Genomic DNA, 23,984 nt, shown 5'->3' with positions numbered 1-23,984 from the left:
ACATGCTAGGAGATTTTTTACAAGCGTACAACTTGATGACATGAGTTTTATTGTTCATATTTTTCAGATTAAAAAACAGACTTAGAAGATATGATTTGTCCATGGTCACCCAACTAGTAAAAAAATAGAACTGAGGTTCAAAATGTTTTTAATCTATCATTGTTTTACTGTGCTGCTTCTCATTTTCTTTATACAGAAAAGAATCAATATTATAAGTTTAAAAAAATTAACATTTCATAGAATTCTCTTGATAGGAACAGTCCACTTGAAAATAGAGAGTTTTCTCTTTTTGGGGATGGAGGTTTTCATCTCTCTTGGAAGATCTGAGGGATTCTGGGAGCCCCAGAACAGTGTCTTACCTGCAGCTGTGAATTGAAACCTGGTGTGAGAGCCCTGACTGTAAACCCTAGAACAAACAAAAGACAGTCCTCCATCCCTCAGGGTCATAAAAATAAGGAAGTATATGATGGAGTTCATAAATATACAGAACATTTCCATTTTCATATAATTGCTGTACCTGTCCAGGGACCCTTTCTTACTCTAAATGGGAGCTACCCACTAAGCAAGGAACTGCCTCTCACCCTGGCATTTCATCTCCTCAACACCTTTCACCCCTCCCTGCTTCTTTGGTAGATGGATCAAGAATCCTGCTGGAGCTTGAGAGTCCTGAAGAAGCTGCCTCTTCCTTGACCCCACTGCTACTCTGTACATGGCTGGATCTCTTGGAAATTGCCAACCCTGGAGAGAAGTGTCTTTGACTTCTCTCCTGGCCTGGACAAACCACAGAGGAAACTTAAGGTAAAAAAAACATTTTAATATATTTTCCTCTTTCTTTCAGCCTTTGTGATACCCATCTAGTCCACAGAGGCTAAATGCAGGTGGAAGGGGAAATACATCGTCTCTGCATGTGCTCCTCTGACATTTTGATAAGAGCACAGGGATGGGAAGGTGACACATCCCTTAAGCTACCCTTTTAAAGACATACTTTTTCAGGGCTCTCAGAAAGCTCAGTAGGAGCCTTTCGGTCTGCTGGGGAAGTTAAAGAATTGTAAGAATAATTAGACCCACAGAAACACACTTGTCAGGTGTGGCTATAATGTCTCTATAACTTAATATATACTTACAGTTAGCTTTTTAATAATTCTGTCATTTCCATTTAAAGAAAATGCTATTTTTAACTTAAATTCTTATTAAGGGATATTTGTCTTGGTTTGTTTGCTTGTTTATGGAGTTTGAATTTTAGGCATGAAAAGGACTGTAAAGATAATTGATATCATTATTTTATATTATTACATAATAATATAATTATTATTACATAATATGGAGGCTTACTCAGACCTCAACCTGAAAAAGTAAGTCATCAGGGCTGTTTTAGAGAAAGCATGGCCACAGGGAAGGTCTGGCTCCTTCTCCTTCTCCTTCTACTTAGTCCAGAAGATGCTCTGCAAAGCCCACTTGGAATATTGTTGAGTTGATCTGAACTGTTCTGGAGAAAGACACAGAGGAATGAAGTGGTTTCTATGGCCACATCACTTGGTGGCAGAACAAACTAAATTGTAAGCTCTTGATTTTCATTTCTGACTTTGAGGTTAATTCAATTCCTTATATCTAAGGGAAAGAAAAAAATACTTAAAATGAAGATGGCTGAAAAGAACACAAACTTTAAAATTTTCCCAAAGGCTGGGCTGTAAATAACTATGTTGTGACAGAATAAAATACTTCACACTCATAAATAGGAAAGTATTAAACCACAGTGAAACATCCTACTGATGATGGGCATTTGTCCTGCTTTGGTAACTTTGGTTCTGACTTGTGTATTCTCCCTGGCACAGTGAACCTATCTTACACCTGTCCTCTGAGTCCTAAAATGCACTGAAATACTCAAGGTTGAGAATATTTAACCTGCTGCTGCTTTGCAGCTGCCCCAACCGATATTTGTTAAGGTCGTTGTTTTGGGGGAACAGCCATGGAACCCCAGGCATATACATGCCAAAGGAAAACTTGGCATGAACATGGGGGGCAGGTAAATCAGTCCTTTGAGACAGAAACAAAACTGTCTTGCTGTCATCCAGGATATGCTCTTTGGCACTGAGCTGGGCATCTTAACCAGACAGGAGGAAATGCTCGTTTGCATTATAGAGAAAAAGTACAATTTTAGTATGTGTAGGAAAATGTTCTTCCAACAACCTCTTTGTCTCCCTGCCATCAGCTTCTCTAAGTCCATGTTTTTTTCTGCTCAAAATAAGTCTCCGTTTTTCTATTTTGTTTTAACCTAAAGTTCTGCCTTGTTTTTTTTTTTTTTCTGCTTCTCCCCAGTCTCTTCCTACTTATTTATTTGTTCTCCTTTCATTCTTTCTTTTGGCTTATGTATTCCCCCTGCTTTTTCCCTCTTTCTTCTTTTTCTTTTTATTTATATTTTCTTTCATTCTTCTTTTCCTCCTTCCCTCTCTTCTTTCTTTTCCCCATTCTTCCACTTCTCTGTTTCTTTTATTTTTTTCATTTTTAGTCTTTCTTTCATTATTTTTACCTTGTTTTCACTGTCCTTCTTTTCTTATTTCTCATCCTTCCTTTATTTCCTCCCTTTTTTCCGTTTTTCCAACTATATGTCTAACTTTTCTTTTCTTCCTCCCACCTTCTTGTTTCCTCTCCTTTCTTCCTTCTCATTTCTTTCCTTTTTTACTTCCTACTTCTTTTTCTTTCCTCCTTCTACCTTAACATATTATCTCCTTTCTTCCTGTCTTACTTCGGGTTCCCCAAAAGTAAACCATGAGAAAGAAATTTGAGTGTAAGTAGTCTATTTAATGGTGATCTAGCAGTAGAGAAGTGAAAGTGGGTGTCCAGGAAAGCCAAGAGAAAGTCCACTGATTGGAATGTTTCTACTGTGGATGATGAGCTCTTTCCACTAGGAGTCATCCACTAAGTGGTAAAGAAAAGGGGATATTCCTTTACAGACTTGAAATTCTATAAATGGAGGGTCCCTCCTTTGGCTATAATTCTTATTCCTTGTAAACTGCACAATGTGGAGGGCAAACATGTCCATGTTCAAAGAATGGCCTCAAACAGAGAAACATGGGGAGCCCCAGCATGGGTGAAAATTATCTGGGCTGACCTCCTGCATATGCCAGGTTGATAATAATGGGTAATTTCAGCATTTAATATGCCTCTTTCCTTCCATCATTCTTTATCCTTTCTTTCTTTCCTTCTTTTATTAAACAACTATTGAGTATCCATATAGGCCAAGTACTGTGAATGAATGTAGGAACAGGTAAACAGGCATGGTCCCAGTCTTTTTACAAATTACACTCCTAGTCTATTGAAACTGATGAAAATAATTATTAATCACATAGTCATAAAACAAATATAAAATGGGAACTGTAATATGCACCGAGGAGAGACTCACAGGGTTATCAGAGTTGATGATATAGGATGTGGTCTATTAGGTAAGGATGCCTGAGGTAGTAATTTGAACTGAACTCTAAAAGGTGACTATCAATTATCTAGAAGAACAGGTGGTGTGAAGAGCCTTCAAGGGCCAGAGAACAGTCAGTAAAGAGAATACGGTTGGTAAAATATTGAAGAGCATCTGAAAGGGCAGTTTGGCTGGGACAGAGAGTAAGAGACGAGGTAGCACAGTTTAAGCTGGAGCCAAGCTATCCAGAGAACTTCTTTGAATGTGAGTATAGCCATGTCATTTCTGTGTCTGAAAAACACTCTAGTGGCGGACTGTTACTTACATAAGTGCTTCTTAAACCTTTCTACTTATATTCCCCTTAAAAGTAGAAGACAAGAGGAAGGCATTCTTGGTTATCTAACAGATCATACTTGGAAATTATTTTTAACATTCTTTTCATATTTTATTTTAAAAATTTGTACCAACTTAATGTACAGTATATTTCAATGTACCAAACTAATTTATATCAATCTTGCTAATTATTTAAATACTAAACTACATTTAATTTTGAAATGTTGATACAGGTAAAACCCCAGGCAACATAACCGGTAGCTATCTTTTTTTTATTAAGTATAATGGTTAAAAGCTCAAGTTTTAAAGAAAATAGGGAAGAAAAGATCAAGCACAGGCTTTTTCCTTACTGGTTGGATGGCCTTGGGCAGCTTCATTAAACTTTCTGTGACCTGGTACATCCTCCCTCATCAAAATTAGCTAACTCAGAAAGATGCTGTAAGAATTTAATCGGAGCATGTAGCATCTGGCACAGATCCAGGTCATTAGCACTCTGTCTATGAAGTTGACTATTGTTATTATGATATCACAGCATTATTATTATATAGTAACTATTGTTACTGCTATTTTTATTATTGTAATTAAGTTGAGTCGTAGTTATGGGAGGGGACATCAAGTGAATAGGAGCATACTAGCAGGCCAAACGAGGAAACGGAGGCTCAATTTTCTGAGAGTTCATGTTCCTACACAAGGAGATGTCCTCACATTGCTTCTAACCCGGTGTCTAATGGGCCTGGACATACATTGCCTTAGGGCCCAAAGGTGCTGAATCCCAACAAAGCTGGTGCTGAGCAGACAGTGGGATGAATTGCCCCCGGCACAGCTTGCACTAATAGAGAGCACTGGTAGGCGGAGAGGAAGCAGGGAGCAGAGGGAGAATGCATTAATGATGAACCTCCTGCATAAAGGGGAGGGATCAGTGAAAGATTAGCTGAACTGATGATCTTGCATAGGAAGGCCAGCTGTGAGAGGTTAATGGAACATTAAAAGAAGAGAGAACTCCAAAGACAGATGGCTGCTGCCTGGGATGGTGGCTTTGAGTCATCAGATTCCAAACTACCATGCACAACAGACAGCCACAGCTAGGGGTAGAGTTATGACCCCAGCCCTGCAGAGTTTGCTGAGAGGGCAGTTAATATTGGCGTGCAGGGTCTAGCCTTGGAGATACAATGTGTTAATTCATCAGATCCTGTGCCACTTTTCCTCATTCCCCTTTTTGAGTGACAAGCATCCACTAGGATGGAAATCCGCTGGGATATACATTAAAGAAAATGTTCTCAGGTCTTTTGCTCAGTCTATTCCTACATCTTCTATGCCTAAGGCCTAAAGTCCTCAACATTGACCCTAAAGGAAAGTGAGGAAGGTTTTGTATTCCCTGAAATTGATTTATTTATCATAGACTTTTTGATCATGAAAATAAATAATTCTCAAACTTTGCTTTGACCCCTTGCAACGGACGTGTCAGATAGCTCTACCCTGGGCATGATGAACTCCAATACGGAGTAAATGTGCCTTTGCTGCCTGCCAGCTGCCAGCTTCCACTTCCTCCCCACAAGACAAATGCATATGAAGACGGTATGCGCTCGTCTGGCCTCATTTAGGTAAGGATTAAACTGATATCAAAGGTAGACTAATTTAGATGATTGTTCTGTGAAAATTAAAACTGAACTAGAAGTGCAAAAATACTCAGAATGTTTGAGATTTCATTATATTAATATCTCAGTGGAGATCAGACTATACCTACTAATAGACTACTTTTGTGGTTTTTGCTTCAAATTTTCATCTGTTTCTGCAAATTTTAAAGCCAGATTCTCCAGTCTCCTAGGAAATTGTGAGTTGTCAATATAATTCCAAGGATATTTTGGCCTACAGCCAAGGAAAGCAAGATAATGAATAAATCTCAAGACACTAAATATAATTCCACATTCCTTTCTCACCTCTAAGAAAGTATATCTAAATTCAAGTGGGTGATGAACAATTTCAGGAACAATTTTGATTCTGCTGTTGCTCATTTTTAAAAGATTTTCTTAAGCTTCATTATTTGATTATTAGGACAAAAATAAATTATTAAAAACAACTTATAATTGATTATAATATATCCATGGGAAGTTGCTTTTACAGAGAAATGCAATAATTCTTTCCATCCTTGCACGTACACACCTTTGCAATTTGATTGTAGCACCCTACCCATCAAAAAAATGAATTCACTTCTCCAACCAGTGAATGTACGCTTAGTCATGTGGCATTTTGGCCAATGTGATATTAGCAAATTATACGTAGGCAGAGACTCAAAAGGTGTTTGCACACTGGGGCTTAACCTCTTTCGTTTATAGTGGGAACACCAAAACCAAGATGAGAATGAGCCTGACTTAGCTAGATAGAAATGGAGAAAACAGAACAGAGAAGCCCTAGCTGAACCCTAACAAAGGCTATGCAAATGGATGTGATCATTGTGGATCATCCAGACACAACTGAGTCCATGAACAATTACAATGTCAAAATTGTCTCATTAATTTTCTTCAGGTTTCTGAAAACAGAATAAAAAAGACCTGACTGAATCTAGTCCAAACGGGTGACCCAGGTTATTGTTTTACTTTTTCTTGTTGGGGTGGCTTTTCATATTAGCAATAGATAATTAATACAGAAGTCAATGCCAAAACTTGAATTGTATGGTAACGAAAGATTAAAGTATATTGCATTGCCTTTAAAGTACGTTGCACTTCATCGAAGTACATGGTATTTGTCACTGGGTGGCAAAACGAAGCTGGTAAGGAAACAGTCAGTGAAGGCTTGACAAATTCCAAACTGCTATTTGAGTGTGCAAAAATGGCAACCCGTGTTGTGTGATAATGAGCCATTGGTAAAACTGTTGCCTATGTTGGTCTTAGGCCTAGCCGTGGAAGATTGCTTAAAAAGATGCCCCTCCACCCCCATCAATTCTACCCATCTCTTGCACTGATGGTCCTTTTTACATCAAAAGCTGGAGTCTAACTCCCTTCCTCTTGAATTTTTCCAGCTCTGTATGTTAGATTATAGGAAGGAAGAGAAGTAAGCTAAAGAAGATACTGCTCAATTTGCAAACAGAGTTTAAAGAAAATGTTAGAGCCCAGGACTTGATAAACTATTCACAAACCTGTCCTCCCCTACCAAAAAAAAAAAAAAAAAAAGGTTCTAAGAGTAAGAAATCACCTGAAAATTAAAGTCCAAATTAGTGTTGTGGTTGTAAAATCTTTTCAGGATAAACAAACTTGATTCAGGTAAGTGTCATCTGATTCTGAAAGACATTAGGGTTTCCCAACTTTGTTTCACAGAGCTCTGCCTTCCTGAGCCCAGTGGGATTTGGAGTGTTGAGTTGGGCATGGTAGAGAGGGATAACCAAGTGAACTGGGAGCTGGCCCTTCACTCTGCTCCAAGGAGAAACGTTCTGTCTTTTTCTGTTATTATATTTGGTTTCCATGTAGGTGTTTGATGGAACAGTGTTTTCCAAAGCCAGTAAGAAACACGTAAAAAAAATCCTGGAAAAACCTCCAGTAAAGAGCAGAATGTGCATTTAAACCTAGGTCACTTGGATCCCAAAGGCCATACTCTTCCTTTCAGGTCATGTTGCTTAAAGGATGGTTGAGGGGTTTTGAGGTTACAGAGTTTTCCTTGCCCGTTATATGAAGTGTATCCACTATGTTTGTATTTCTCAAACCAGAAACTGACAGTCCATGTGGCAACAATATAGTATATTTAAAATCTGGATTGTTCTGGAAGATTTTAGTTGGAAAGTTGTATTATCCAATCCTTAAGAAATACTACTAACAGATCATATCATCTAAGCAGGATTGTACAGAAGAGAGATTTCAGAACTTTGTAAATCATTTTGTCAATTGATTTATTAATTGTTTTACAAATTAATTGTTGAAATTAAGGTCCTATGCTAAAAACTGGGGAACAGGAAAAAAAACAAACAACCAAACCTTGTTTTGGCTTCCAGGAACTTCTAGTTTAGAAGGTGAGGCAGAGAAAGTTTTATCTATGCAAAACAATGTCATGTCTAAAAGGAAGACACTTGAATAGAAAACTTTGTCTGCTAAATTGTTGGAGCCCATGCTTTCCTGAACCATGGGCACGTGGATTAAGAACACAGTGGCTCACGCCTGTAGTCCCAGCACTTTGGGAGGCCAAGGAGGGTGGGTCACGAGGTCAGGAGATTGAGACCATCCTGGCTAACACAGTGAAACCCCATCTCTACAAAAAATACAAAAAATTAGCCAGGCATGGTCGCAGCACCTGTAGTCCCAGGTACTCGGGAGGCTGAGGCAGGAGAATGGTGTGAACCCTGGAGGCGGAGGTTGCAGTGAGCCTAGATCGCACCACTGCACTCCAGCCTGGGCGACAGAGTGAGACTCTGTCAAAAAAAAAAAAAAAAAGAGAAAGAAAGAACACCATTTAGTACTCCTTACTTCGGATATATCCTATTTAGAATATATCATAGCTAAATGGTGTTTCTAGTTTCAGAAAATATAAAATAGATCATGTTATATAAACTCAGTTTTCTTATCACAAAAGATGTTTCTTTCCTCAGATGCAGAGGAATAAAACATAAAAATATAAACTTAAGGGCCTATGAGGTACCAAATGATTTTTATTGTATTATATTTTCAAGTGTGAGAGAGACCCTGGACACTTCTGCCCCAGGCATCCTGACTCATGATTCAGTCATCGTCTTAACTTGTTGAGGTGCCGATAAGCTAAACTAATTTACAGGTGCTAAAGCCATGTCATATGGGGCTGAACAGGTGAAGCACCTAAGGGGATCCCAGAAAAAACGCTTTTCAGTGCAAGTTAGCTTCCATATCTTCTATCCTACCAGCATTCCAGTTACTTCAAGCCTTACAAGTAAGGGTTTACATCGATTGGGGCAAATATTGAGTTTTTCCAAGTGAGCATCTTTATTATTAACATAGTTTGGTAGTTTTCCAGCAAGACAGCTACATAAATCATTCTGTCTATTTCTGTACTTGTGAAGGCATTCAGGACACCTGGGTTTGCCCAGTAGCAGAAGACTTGACTTTAATTAAGGTCAAGATGGTGAGACACAAGACAAGCTTATGGAATGTTACTCATAAAAGTGCCCAATCATATTCACAATTAGAGGTATGAACACCACTGTTTCAAAGAGGGGTAGCTGATATATTTTATTATTTTTAAAATAGTGTGGCTATCCTGACCATAGTGTAGATTCCCTGGAGTGTTAAATGGAATGGATAGCCATCTTTACAAATGTGTGTGTCTGGTCTTTCCTTAGTTATATTTGGAATATTAAGTACATTTGTAAGATCCTTTATAAGAAACAATTCGATAAGACTTATTCCAGCAGAAATCAATTACTGATAATAATAGAATGGCCAAAAATCATGGGTAGTTATATTTAAAATTGCTTTATAAAATTTTTCTCTATATGAAATCATTTAAAATTTCCAAAGATTCTGTAAGCTAGGACTATTATAATCCCCACTATCCAGGTAGAAAACTAGTCTAGAAAGATTAAATAGTTTGATCAAGATCACACAGCTAGGAAGGGCTTTAAATCCAGGCTGCCTGGCAATATTGTTTATTGATGTGGTCCTTAGGCAAGCCATTTTAAATTTATTTTTTACCGTACTCAAGAGAAAACAGAGAAAAATATGTTTTCTTCTTTCTCATTTATGATGTTAACATCTGTGGCAAAAGTTCCCATTTATCTTGAAATCTACATTTGAAAGGGAAAAAGCACTTTTAGTAGATGACATTATAATATGGTTTGGAAAGCTCATTATATGAAAGAAAGCACAAAAGGTGAATTTGCGCTACAATCTGCTAGCCTGTTAAATAAATGTATAAAATAGAGCTTAAAATATGAGCCTAAAGTTAAATACCTTATGTTGCAAACAAACTTGTCGCATCAGTGAAAATGCCCTCCTGTTCTCCCTTTTTCACTCCTGACACCACCCGTCTGTTCTTGCCAGCCAGGGGTTTTTCATCTTGCTGTCTTAGAAAGTGTTTTTTCAAGATCCTAAGATATCAATAAACCAAAGTCTGCCCAATGATTAAAGAAAGATATTTTGACCTTCAGAAAATATACTTATGCTTTTTATCTCCAAACTTTTACCTCTCACCTTCTACTCCCTAATTCATTTTCAGGTCTTTTCTTTCACCTAGTTGAGTGGAAAAAATATAGTTAATAATAGATAAAACTGTATTGAAGGCTTACTTCTGTTTCAAACACTTTCCATATATTCTCATAGAATGCATTTCCATGTATCCATATATTATTTAATTTTCCCACATCTTAGGGGGTATGAAATGTCTTTATCATAATCCTTTTATAGATGAGAGAGATTAAGTTTATACAAAGGAAAAGATATTGAACAGAGATTTGAATGCACATAGTTTAATCTTGCTGCCACATTCTGACCCACTCTGTAATATCGTTTCAAGGACCAGTAATGCAGTATTCTCATCTAACTTAAATATTGAGTCCATTTCAAAGTTTGTGTAAGATGAACATCATCCTAATAATGTGAATGACATTGGGAATCATTTACTCTCAGGAATTTCATTTGTTTGCATACAAAAAAGTGGTTTGGGAAGATATTTGTGCTGATAATTGATGCAGGGAGTTTTATCTGAATCTAAATTATAATGTGTTGATAACATTTCCTCTCTTGTGAAATATGATTCTTAATGAAGTCTGGTTATAATCAGTCAGTTAGCAGATTTGTGCTAAAAATAGCATCCCCAATGCTCAGATTCACTTGTGGAACTTCAAGAATTCTGCCTAATTATACCAAAAGTGCACATATGCAGGGCAGACCCATACTTACATAAATTGGGTTCACTACATAAATACTCCTCATATTTTTGATACTTTATTACTGTGGTCTTTCAGTTTTCTTAAGAAGTATAAATCATTAATCAAGCAAAAATGTGCATATGTGACATGCTTTTTCATTTGCAATGTTACTTTATTCAGGCAAAATTTGAATTTCGGTAGTACATCATCAGGAAATATATTATACCCAGTGTGCCTTGGGTAGCAAGGCTCTGCCATATTTTGTAGTCACATAAGATACTCAGTAATATTTGTTTATGAATTACTAATTGTGTTATAGTGAAATAGCATCTGATTTTGCAAAACAATAAATATACATCCACTGTCTGTCTTATGAAATGGAGGCTGAGGCAGGAGCATGGCATGAACCCGGGAAGCGGAGCTTGCAGTTAGCCAAGAGCTCGCCACTGCAAACCAGCCTGGGAGACGGAGCGAGACTCCGTCTCAAAAAAAAAACAACAAAAAAAAAAGCAAGACAAAACTTATTCCTGCCTTATCACTCAAAGATAGAGCTTGAGTGATTGAAGATGTTCAGGAACTGATTATATACGTGAGGGTAATTATAATGTGGACTCTAATTATAAAACTAGCATGTGGCATTGGATTCCTGGGAGTCATTGAGTTGCCTCTCCAACAGAGACCAGGTGCCTGGGGAGAAAAAACAAAAGCCGAGAATGGAGAACATAAGTGAGAAGTAGAAATAATTTAGGAAAAATATTCCCTGCCCATTTTCTCTCATAACTATACAACACTTTCCCTTTTTTGCTCTTCTCTCTTTCCTTCTACTTTGAAAAATTAAAAAACGTGCAAAGGCAGAAAGAAAAGAATAATCTAAAAATTTATTCTTTTGCTTTTTAATTTTTTAGCTGTTTTTATTTTGTTTGTTTGTTTGTTTGTATAAGTAGACTTTTATTACCCTATGGCTATTCTTGTTGTCATTCCCTTTTTGTAGACGTGGCAAACGTTAAGTGAATAGTTGATGTGTAAAAAGAGTCAGAAAACACACTCCTTTTCATTACAGGAAATTAATTAGTTTAGCTTATTTGTTCCTCTGTAAGAGAATGAGAATTTGACATACTGGATAAAAGAACAGAATAATTCAGTCCAAAGTTGGCGACAAAAGAGAGAATATATTTAAAACATAAAGGAAAGATGAGGAATAACCCAATTCCATTCCCTCCAGGAAGGCAGTTAGCTTTTTTGCAAATATGAAAAAATATATATCAATACTTCATATTTTACTTTCAAAACAATTAGTAGAATAAATTGCACAGGATTTAAAAATTCAACAATTGGCAAAACTGAAAATTATTTTGTGCTTTGGAAATGGTTTTGTGTTTACTCTTTGATTCAGCTAAAACATGTACATGACACATTTAATTCTTTGTATTTTAATATTTATTTTTTAGTTCCTATATTTTTATTGTCTCGAACTTTCTGTACTCCGGTGTTTGGTTAGTTTCATAATTCCCATTATTTTTTTAAAAACTTTATTAAAATCACAATGCTTATTTTTATCAATTTTATAATTTTCCTGTTTAATAGTCCTATTATAATGTAGACTCACATATCCCTACTGCCCCTAATATTGATCATTTTGTTGCAAAAAAGTATTGAGAGGGAGACACAATCTGCATTATGTAATTTTATATTTCACTTATAACATATTGTGCGAATCTACTTAGTATTGCAAAAAGGGCACATGGGTAAAATGGTGGAGCAACAATTACATTTTGCTGTGTTGTGTAGTCAATAAATGTCTAGGCTCAGGAAATAGACGGTCTGGGTTCCAGTTCCAGCTCCAATATTTACTAGAGAAGAAAATATGAACAACTGACTTTACTTCTCTTTGCCCATGTACATGTGTCACCTTTAAAGTGAGGACAATTATAATAATAAAACCTATCCGATTAGACTTGTGAAGTTTGAACTGGTTAATATATGTAAATTGATAAGAACAGTTTCTGGTGCAAGAAAAAAGTGCTCAAGAAAGTTAGCTGTTATTACTATTTTGAGTCAGGATTATAATTAATAGTGATTACATTTTGGAAGTAACAGTGTGAATTATGGCAAAGACTAGAAACAACCCTTCATTGATGACATGTGCAGATACTAGTTTGTTCTTTTTGAATAATGAAGCTAAAATGATTCTTCAAAAAGTCCTTCTTGTTAAATAGAAGTGAATGAAGCTAGCATTTTATGGGGTGACCTGGGGTAACATAGGACCTTATACCTGGCTGGGACTGAAAAATCATTTTATTGCCTAGATGAGGAAACTGAAGTATTTAGAACTGATAAAGGCAGCTTTGGAACAAATATTTTCTGACTTCCTGCTCTCGGATTTCTTCCACAATGTTTTGTACTACACTAAATAAGCCCTATGCCTCTTTGAAACATTCTTCTAGCTAGGACAGAAAAAAAAAATGTTTAAGCTGAAAAAAATATCAAAGTGCTTAGATATGAATTGGAAAACAGTTCTAATTAAAGAATGAGAGGAAATTCATACTGTTTTGAAGTATAATTTCATATTTTTAGGTCTAGCTGGACAATACTCCAGTCAGCCCATCCACCACATTTTGTAAAAAATTGTTTTTATTAGTTTCTTCTTTTCACTTGAATTAATAGCTTCCTTGTGCTAGGAATCTGCAGAGGGCCCAGTAGCCTTAAGCATTGTACAACTAAACCATGGACTCACCCACTAAGTGATCCTCATACCCTTCAATAAGCATACTAAGTGGTTTCATTCATGTTATATGTAATCCTCCTACCAAATTTTATTATATGCATTTAACAAATGTGAAAATGTAGGCATTTGAAAGTTAAATAACTCGCCCAAAGCTAAGCAGCTAAGATACCTGTGCAGGATTTAATTCCAGTGTCTCTGGTTCCAAAGCCAGATCTCTTTCAAATATATAGCAAACAGCATAATTTCCATTTGTCAGTGTCAACTGGAATCAATGATCTTCTTTCTTCGGAGTTGCAAATAGCTATTTTCCTAGTCCCAAGGGCAGCCATGGCAGCAATACTGTCCTTGGGTGCCAAAAGGAGAAGGGAAGCATGTGATTTGAGAAAGCGCATTGATTGCCTGGCCCGTTGAGAACCATGGACTGCCTGTGCTCAGCCATAAACTTTCATTTCTCAGGCCTTGACTGCTTTATTTCTAACAAACCATTAAATTTAACCATGTTTTTCAGCAATATTCAAGTGTATAAGAGCATATTTATTTTACTGATATCTTGAGATTCAGAGTTTTCTTCACATACTAGACTAAAATTTCCTGGATCCCTGACTACACCATTACCATTGCTATGAGGGGTGGATTGAGGAGTTCTGAATGGCCTCACACCACTCAGGATCTCAGTTTCAGTGTTTGGTGTTTTTTTGTTTTGTTTTGTTTTGTTTTGTTCTGTTTTGTTCATATTTTAGAAAGAAAAAGGTATATCAATAAGGAAAAGTTACAAGGCCTACATATATACATATATGATGTGTATGTGTATATATACATAAATATATATGTATTCTTACACACCATACACACACACACAAACGTGCACACACACATATAGCAAGAGACAAAGAGAGATATATATTCATCTATATAAATATACAATTACATATAGAATCCTCCTATGTAATGTGTGCATATATAGTAGATACTACTCAAATATGAGCTTTCACACTTTTCTAAAAGTTGAAAATCAAATTCAAAAGCATAATAATTTTTACTGCATCCAATAATATTCAGAATATTTGTCTCTTTCTTTAGCAACTCACACAGGCCTAAATCCAATAGTTTTTCCAAGTTTAGTGTAGTGTCATATTGGCTACCACACACTCCATGCTTGGAGCTTACCCTTTCTATGTGGCACTATTTTACCCTGTTATTACACCACTAGATCAGAATAGCAATATGATGCCATGGATTCACAATGGAATCATCATAAGGCCAGTATTTTGAGTAGACTCTCTAATACAAGAAAAGAAGTCACACAGTATTCCCCTGTAACATGATGTTGGTAACATAATACCTGACGTGTGAGGCAGTCTACCCTGGAGCTACATATGGCTATGTTACAATAAGAAGTAGATTAAAAAGTCCATTAAACATTTGCTGCAGAAACTAAGAGGACTTTTGAAAATCACTAAATGTGCTTCTTACACTGTGAGAGAAGACATTGCATTTCTAATTTGTGTGTTTGATTTACTTTTCCATAAGAACCATTAGGATTTTAGGGGTTACTGGATCTGGTAGGGTTTTCCCTGATGAAACATGCTATTGCTTAGGACTCTCTACAACTCTAAGTAACAGAAATACAATCTAAACCACAGCAGCAGTAAGTGGAATTTATTGCATCACAAAACTGAAACAGTTTAGAGATAGAACTGGTCCCTACTGAAGCTGGAGGCAGCAGCTCAGTGACAACTCTACCATGTGTTGACAGTCAGTTTTCATATTCCAGGCTCCAGAATTTATCCTATACTCACCAGTATGACTCCAAGCAATGAGAGAGGAGGACCCAAGCAGGCTTCTGCTTATGTTTTTGGATTCAGTCTCTTTCATTAGCCCCAATTGGATCATGTATCAATTCCTGAGCCAATTATTGTGGCTAGAAGGAATAAATGCCAGAAGGGGTGGGGCATAGATTAGGTTAAGCCAATCAGCCACACCCCTGATGCTAAGAGTGAGGTCATTTCCACCAAATAGCAAGGCTGTAACACAATGGTAGAAAAGTAATTTACCAAAAGGAAATTAAAAGCGCTGATGGCAGAAAAAAAAAGGGGGAGGGAAATGGAAGCTGGAGAAACAGCCAACAAATAGAATCCCAAATGTTTTGCTTGAAATGGAAGTGTTTACTCAGAAAAAACGTACAGATAACATTCCTTTGGAACTATTATCCTTAAAGTCTTGAGACTGCAGACTCTCAGTAACAGAATGTCAAGGAATCCTAGGATTTAGATTCTAGAAAAAAAAAAATGGAGGGGATATCAATGTTTTCTGCCAAGTAGAACATCTTAGCAATATCAAAGTTCTTTGAAGATGAGAATTATTGTATTACTTTTATCACGAGCCCGTGATAGATTTCCTAGTGTCAATCTGAATAACAAACAGAGAGAGACTCTCTAGAGGAAAAGATGTTTATTTGGGAATAGAGTATTGCAATGGGGATATGTATGCCATTATCAACTATGTGCATAGTCAGGGAGGTAAAGGAAGGCAAAGGTTTTTGAAGGAAAAAAAATGAGAAGTGCATAATTGTAGTAATTATCCGTAGCTACGTAAATCAATTACAGCTTGAGGCTGGACAGGCAATTGTTGAGAAGATTTCCATGCATAAGTATTGTTTTAAGTAAGTTTGTGCAAGGTTACAAATCAAACCTTTGTTCAAGGTTGTGATTTTTGTAGAATTTGTTTTATTATCAGGCATACAAGTGTGAGAACCTTCTCTTCATGGCGTTCCCTGGCTCTATTTGTCAAAGTTTTCTTAACATTAGTGACTCCATCTTGATTCTTTCATTTTCACATTAGAAAACGTTCTTTTGTGCAGATAAGGTTAATGAAGTTCTGTTCACTTCACTTTATATTATCTCTTGATTATCTATTTTGGCTTTCTCAGAGATTAAGACTTGCAGGAAAACCAAGGCAACGGGAATGTTCATTTTCTAGGGCAAACCTAGATTCTGAGTATGGTAACTGTCCCAGGGACACACTGAACATTATTAGAGCAAATATCAAGATATTGGAAGCAGTATTGTATAATCACAAGACTCAGGCTTTGAGGTTAGGCAGATTTGAATTCTAATGTTATTCCATCCATAATTAAGGCATGTCTTCCCTCAGGCTCAATTTCCTTATGGGAAATCATACTACATGCATGATAGAGATGAAGAATTAAATATGGTAATATATATATAAATTGGAGAATTGTTTATTATATAAGAAATAAGCATGCCTTTACCCTCTCCTTACTAGTTCGTGGAACATGTTTTGAGATCAGCCTAATATGTCACCTTTAACTTAACTAATAACAATAAAAACCCACTATGTATTGAATGAACTCCATGCAGTGGTTAGGAATGCAAACTGCAAAGCCTGAATGCCTGGGTTTGAAAGTAAGCTCTTTTAACTTGTTAGTGACTAGTTAGGCAAACTACTTAACTCCTCTGTGCCTCAGTTTTCTTATCTATAAAATAGTGACAAAAAGATTTCTGACATTTTTATTAAAAGCTCATCAAATGTCAGGCATTCTTCTAAGCCTTACTATGTATAAACTCATTTAGCTTCAAAATAACTCTCCATAGTTGTACTACTACTATTGCTATATTGCAGATGGGGAAGCTGAAGCACAGAAAGATTCGGTTGCTTAACAAAGTGATGGAACTGAGATAAAAATCCACAAAATGTGCCTCTGAAGTCACTTTGCTAACCACTAACTCTATTCATTATGTATCTTTACCTCTAAACCTTTCTGTGTATTATCTCATTTAATCCACTCAGAATTACAACAACCTAAATCACTATTTCCAGAGAACAGAATTTTAATTTTCAAAGAAGGACTAAGCAACAACCAGGCAAATTAAATAGCTCAAGTTTACATGGCTAGTATGTGTTGCTGCCTGGTTTTGAAACCTGTATTATTAAAACCTAAACCTTACAGCCTCCATTTCAATATCACCTGAAGACTGAGAATTCCGCCAAAATACATGAAATCCCCTTGTCTAATTGGAGCATTTGGAGTTCAGCAGAATTATCTCACCTACACAGTTCTTACAACACTCCTTCTTGCATACTATGCATTTCAGGTTTTTGTTAGTCATCCCTGCTGTCGCTGGCCTGTGACCTTGGAAGGACTATTTGAGCAGCTTGAATGGAGTGATCAGCAGAAGGTTAGTTACACTGGCAGCCTCTAAAGTTATCCTGCACCAACACTTGCCTGGAAGCAAGAAGTTTAAAGTGGTTTCCATAAGAAAACTATATATAGTTTTTATTTTCTTTTTAGCTTATCTATGAATTATACCTATTGTAATTATCCACTCACATTTTTATAACTTTTTTCCACTGCCTTTAAAATTAACACATACACATTACAGAATGCTAGAACATACAGAAAACATATTTATTTTTCAAGATCGACTTCATAGGTTGATTATTTTCCTTGTTTTTTTAGTTTTATGTGCTGTTTGAACACTTTACTGGTAATTATATTTACTTTTAAAATCTAATCTAATCATAGTTTAGCCTTTTTGTAAAACTAGGGAATAATCCAATGACTGTGGTGCTTCCTTATTATATATGAACATTTTGATTGTTAATATATTATTATCACCTCTTACCACCATATCCTGAAATCTCATATATTTTGGAGTTAAACCCCTAGAAAATGTCAAAGTTATGTTTTGCTTTATTTTATTTTCATTTGGCATGCTTTCCTGCAAAAAAATTTTGGGTTTTGTATGTCCCTAAATCATATATATTTACCTGCTATAGTACCCATCGCACTCTTCTGGTGTTTTACTACTCAACTCAGTGTTTTACTTTATCTTCTTTAGGTTGACTTAAGTAGCTCTTTGAATCAATGTTTTCTGAGGTCCATATGGGCAGCAAAGTTACTGGGCTCTTGAATAAGTGAGAATGTCTTAACAAATGAACTTCTGCTCAATGTAGACTCTGAGTTGAACCCTACGTCTTTTGAAAGCATGTGCACATCCTCCATTCACTTTGTGAACTGGAGAAATATGTGATCAGCTTGATTTTGTTTTGTTAACAAACTCATCTCCCTCCTTTAATACTTATAGAACGTTTTGTCTGACACTAAATCTAGGTTATTTGCTATCAGACAGGAGACTACTCATCAGACAGGATGATTCAATTCAATATGGGGAATTATAGGTGTTTTTGACAGACTGAGAACTTACTAGTTTCATAACACTTATTGTGAAATTTTACTAGAGCTTACTGAAAAATAAATCTAAAGAAAAACAAAATTGGCGATAGAGAGCAAAGGAAAAGTAATAATAAAAAAAAAGACACTCACATCTAGCAAAGAGCTCTAGCCAGATATAAAATAAAGATAAAAAGAAACCAAATAAACGGGTCAACTCTTTGAAAGTCAAGTGGGTAAACTTTCGGAAAGTGCAGACTGATAGAAGAAGAAAGCAGAATACTAGAGGCATGTGCCACTACTTAAGAAAAAGTTGTAGCAAAAAGCAAATGCTGTTCACTGTTTGAAACATTCAAAAGCTGGAGAGATACAACTGAGAAGCATAAGCAGAAATGTCGGTCCTCCGGAGGACTCTAGCTTCCAAGGCAACAACAGCAGTTTGGAAACTCCCTAGCAAACAGCTTTCTTAGGCTTAACTGATTATAGCAAGAGGCACAAACTGCTGGCACAGGTATAAAATGTGCACTCACAAAAGAATCTGCAGACGCTTCTGCCAGGTAGAGGCTCCCTCAATTTACCATGGAGGTGCCAGAAATATGGGGACCAAAGAGAAAGTGGAAGTCAAGAGATTTTTAATATTCTGAATGAGAATAAACAGTAGCTCAAAAAGTAGCTGCCACTTTTGCGAATGTTAAGGGCTAATAAAGTATAATTCTCTTGAAGGTCACTCTGCATGAAGAGATACTATATATAATTGGAATTTTCCCCTAGACAAATGGCAAACAAATGGCAATAAACTACTTATAGGAGATTTCTCCCTGTTGAAAATAACCTCAAGGCCATAGTCTCCAGGGAGACTTAAGTTGACTGGCATTTTAGAAAACCTAATACAAGGAAGGGTTTCTCTGCCTGCCTCTTTCCGTCAGCCACCACTGAGTCCCTTCAACGGACCTCGGCAATAGTAAATCCTTAATTTCAAGAATAAAATAAAACACATCCTGAATCAACTGCTATAGGTGTTTCCTTGCTTTTTTTTTTTTAATTTTCTGGGAGTTGGGGCATCCATTTTGTCTGTCTTCAGATCACTTTGAATCCATCAGAGTTGGCATAGAATTATTTAAATTTCCAGAATCTTGACAGATGACACTCCTGCGGGCATAAAATGTGTTCCCCTAAAATTGATATGTTGAAGTTATGACACCCAGTACCTGAGCATGTATGAACTTGTAGATAAGGTTTTAAGAGGTTATTAAGTTAAAATGAGGTCTTTAGAGTGGACCCTAATCCAATATGGCTGACCCTTTACAGAAAGAAGAAATTTGAACACACAAAGGACAAGTGCAGAGACAGAGGGATGACCATGTGAGGACACGGTGAGAAAGAGAAAAGCCTCAGAAGAAACCAAACCTGCCAACAATTTGACCATGGAATTCTAGCCTTTAAAATTATGAGAAAAAAGTATAATTTTTGCTTAAGCCACCAGTGTGTTGAATTATTTTATGACATCCCTGGCCAACTAACACATATGTCTATTCCAGTGGAAGACAGTGATGAGACAGACCACAGCCAAACTTCAACTTGTTTCAGGGATGAGGAAGCCATCTAGCTAGGATACAATCAAACAAGAAATTTTAAAATGGCAAAGACTTTCATTCATTTCAATGACTTAAGAATGTTGAATTACTTTTGTACTTTAACTCACAAAAACCTGATAGATAATTTTCCTTTGGACATGAATTTACAACGGCAAAGGGATTTAAAGCTCTGAATATGCTTATCCCTGGTAATTTTATTTGATGAAAGGATTTAATTAGTATTTTGGGGCATCTCTGTGTTGTGTGAAATTTTATAATAAGATCTTATTTTATCAATTAATCTTATACAGAACCTCTAAGAGCATTTAAGATGAATGTGGCTAGAACTAATTTGGGATAAGAAGTAAACTCTGTGTAACTGTTCATCTTTGAGTTTAGTGTAGAATTGTGGGTAATTTAGTTAATACATACTGAATAACCCATTCTATAGTTTCCTGGAGGCAAAATGCATTCTGCCTACCAGTAGTCCCCAGGAGGACACCCAAAATTGTCCCTGGTCAGGTTTGGGGTAGCCATCTCATGAAAATGGTGGAAGAACATTCTGATAGTCCATTGACCTCTGTTTTAGCCCATTTGAGTTGCTATAAAGAAATAGCTATGGCTAGGTCATTTAAAAAGAAAGGAGGCTTACTTGTTCTCAGGACTATGAAGACTGTAAAAGAAGCATGGTGCCGATATCTGCTTCTTGCGAGAGCCTCAGGAAACTTCCACTCAGAGTGGAAGGTGAAGGAGAGTCAGGATGTGAAGATCACAAGGCAAGAGAGGAAGCAAGAGAGGGAAGAGGTCCTAGGCTCTTTTTAACAACCAGCTCTTGAGGGAAGTCTCACAGGTCCTGATAGAGCAAGAATTCACTCATTCCTGCAAGAATGACACAAAGATGTTCATGAGGGATTTACCTGCTGACCCAAACACCTCTCATTAGGCTCCACCTCCCACACTGTAGGTCAACTTTGAACATGAGGTTTGGAGGGTCAAATATCCAAACTATAGCAACCTTCTTCTCCAAATTGGTTAAAAAAGACAATTATAATGGAATGCTTATTCCTCTGCTCTCCTTGATACCATTTCACTCCTTTCCCCACCTTGTCTCCATTCTTTTTTTCTTCCCATGGAGGAGGAATGAGTTACCTGGATTGGTGGGGGACATCTGTTGGTTTTCACGTCTCTGTTGTATTGGCCAAACCTGTTAAAATTGTGTGAGCATTGGAGATTTCTTGATTTTGTTTACTTCTACTCTGCAACAGGAAAGGCATGATTCTTGATAAGTAGCATTTTCTCTTTGGAAGCCCTTAGATGGGCTTCCCAAGATCTGAGCTTAAATAAATGGTTGGCAGGAAAGATTAGGAAACACCGTGTGCTAAGCCCTTTCTTCCAATTTAGCTTATTGAAAAAGTTTGACTTCTGTGTCTGCTTCTCAATTGTTTCTAGATGAAGAAAGAAAAGAAGAGTGCAATTTAATTAGGCTCACTTAAAACCAAACCGAGACTGTTTGTTGTTTTATTAATAACACATGTAGGTGCATATTTATTTAAAATAATTTTCTATTTTATATAGTACATTGTTTTAATACATCTCTGCTCTGCAAATGTTCTTTTTTGTTTTAGAATATGTTCATTACATCATTACTCTTTCTAGTTTTCTCATCTTTGAGTGGACTACCCTAGAACAAGTGCTTGAAAGCCAATACAGTGTTTATACTGCTTTTGACCTAGCTCATAACTTCTGAACACTTCCTAAGATTTCCTCAAGGCTTACAAAAGGAAGGCAGATTTCATAGAGCCAGCTGCCAATTTCCTGTCCCTTTTTCTTCATGGGGTTAGGCGATCATCTAGTATTTCTATTGACAGATCCTGTGTTGAACTTACGAATCATTTTGAAGTAGTCTTTTGTTCTTCTTGCAAGCGTTGTGCATGAAAACCCCAAGCCTCTTAACTGGCCATGTTTCAAATGTGATTCTTGATTCTGACTTTCAATCCTTCAGACTTTAACACCCATAGTAAAATGGGACACTGCATGCCTCCCCTTAACTGTGTTGTATCTTAAAGTTTTGTAATATTGGAAGGTGCAAAATGGGAGATTCTGATAGGAGTAAAAGAATGGAGAACTGTTCTCAAAATATTCTGAATTGGCCAACAGGGTGACTGTGTAAGGCTTTCTGATTGAATGTAAAGGCCTTGAATTACAAGAGTAACTAAAACACTTCTCCTAATTCATTTCTGATTGCTGTGAGGATCTAAGGGCTTAGGTACTGAGCAAGGAAATGTTGGCAGCTCTTAATTTTGTATTATTGCAAAAAGCAACTAATGTCTTAATAATATTACAAACACAGCTAATAAGAGTGATCAACTAGTCAAACAGTCAAAAACATTTGATGGCAATATATTTTACTTTAAAACATGGCAGATCTCTTATAGAGACACACACAAATAAATACTGGAAATGTAACAAAATTGACCTCTCAAGAATACTCTTAAATGATTAGAAGGACTATTTTGATAAGCTTCTTATTTTGGGAGGATGTTAGTGACAACCCAAATTACATTCAGAGAACAAGGACTGTTAAAACTTTCTTCTGAGGAGACTAGGTATGACCAGCTCCACGTTTATGATTTGTAGTGAGTTTGAACTTTTGGAACCTGAGCTGAGTTTCTCAGCATAATAAAAGAAAGCCTGAAAGCCATAAATAATGGTCTTTCTTTGCTAACCTCTCCTCATACTCCACACACCGTGTATCTTTTCCTATAAATAAATGTTAAAGTATTAATGGAATATAAGTTTAAAGGGTACCAGACTACTAGCCTACTTGGGGTACTAACATGGACTGAATCTTCACTGACACTAGGACTCCATCCAAAGAAGGGTCCTATTAAAAGACAGTTTTTCCCTAAATACATTGTATGTCATAAAGCCCAAACACAACTTATACAGACTATTCAATTCTACAGAGTACAGATGGGTGGTAGGTAGCTAATGTTTGTTGAGTAAAGGAAGACAGATCAAGGAGTTTGAAGGCTGAGTTTAATGATATGTTCTTTTTTATTAATTTCCAGGCAAAGAAGCCAACATAACACAGAGACTGAGACTCTGAGGAATGTGATATGGAGATGGAAAAATGGGGTAGGTCACTTAAAGTCAAGAAGTAAAAACTTGTCTCCTTCTCTGACATATTAGAAAAGCTTGAAGTGCTAATGTTTGCCTAATAGTTTCTTGTTTTATAAAATAGGTAAGCCTTGGGCTGCATGGTAGCAATTTCTCTAGCAGATCCTAGCAGAAGAATCCATCTCACCCTTCTGAGATCTATGAATCCAACTCCCATCAGGCTATCTCTGAGGACCTCCATTTGAGATTATTGCACTAGAATCAAATGTGTGCAACAAGTTAGCTGGTTAGAAAGCCTGGTTATGGTTTTAATGACTGCTATGCGGAGGTGCTGCCTTGTTAGTCTTTATAGCAACACCATGAGGTGAGCTGATTTAATACTACATATTATAGATGAGAACAAAATGTACCTAACAAAGTTAAATAACATATCTAAATTCAAATAATTAATAAAAGGCAAGGCTTGCAACTGAGACTTGTCTCTCCCTAAAGTGTGTCACTTGCATAGACATTCCTGAATCTTCAATAAAAGGGTTTAGGAAAAGCATGTTTGCATTGAGAATTAGCTCATCGGGGATCCAGACTCAGAAATGATTTTTAAAAGTTTATCAAGTTAATGAATTAAAAACTCTATTCTGTTTTAAAAAAGAGAACGAATTCATAAAGGTAAAGAAAATATATATAACATTAAAATATAGACATAAGCTTATCCACTTGAGAAAGAACTGCATTAATTTGTGATTTATCTGAAGAAAGGCTTATGCAGTTGAAGTTTGGGGGCACAGCCTTAAGCTGCTCACTCCAGCAGT

General features: G+C 36.5%; 1 long non-coding RNA gene across 4 annotated transcripts, besides 1 other annotated feature; it reads left to right on the top strand.

Moving 5' to 3' along the window:
* Positions 1-1,479: 1,479 nt before the first annotated feature.
* Positions 1,480-23,644, top strand: LOC105376639 (uncharacterized). Of its 4 annotated transcripts, none has more exons than XR_931213.4 (7): positions 1,480-1,556; positions 3,502-3,673; positions 5,208-5,343; positions 17,403-17,486; positions 19,790-19,854; positions 23,127-23,193; positions 23,300-23,644. It is a non-coding gene; the product is annotated as an uncharacterized LOC105376639 (long non-coding RNA). The 4 variants fall into 4 exon arrangements; XR_931214.3 differs by having other exon boundaries at positions 5,212-5,343; positions 23,300-23,440; XR_931215.3 differs by lacking the exon at positions 3,502-3,673 and having other exon boundaries at positions 23,300-23,440.
* Positions 7,776-7,963: a silencer, noted in NCBI's record as "fragment chr11:41890849-41891036 (GRCh37/hg19 assembly coordinates)". NCBI's record gives its function as "represses an EF-1alpha promoter that drives an FKBP-Casp9 reporter gene in an ReSE screen in HepG2 liver carcinoma cells {active_cell/tissue: HepG2}" and the evidence as "EXISTENCE:reporter gene assay evidence [ECO:0000049][PMID:32094911]".
* Positions 23,645-23,984: the final 340 nt, after the last annotated feature.

This window comes from Homo sapiens, chromosome 11, assembly GCF_000001405.40.
Source record: "Homo sapiens chromosome 11, GRCh38.p14 Primary Assembly".
NCBI classification, from domain to species: Eukaryota; Metazoa; Chordata; class Mammalia; order Primates; family Hominidae; genus Homo; species Homo sapiens.
This window is presented reverse-complemented; position numbering and strand designations above follow the sequence as displayed.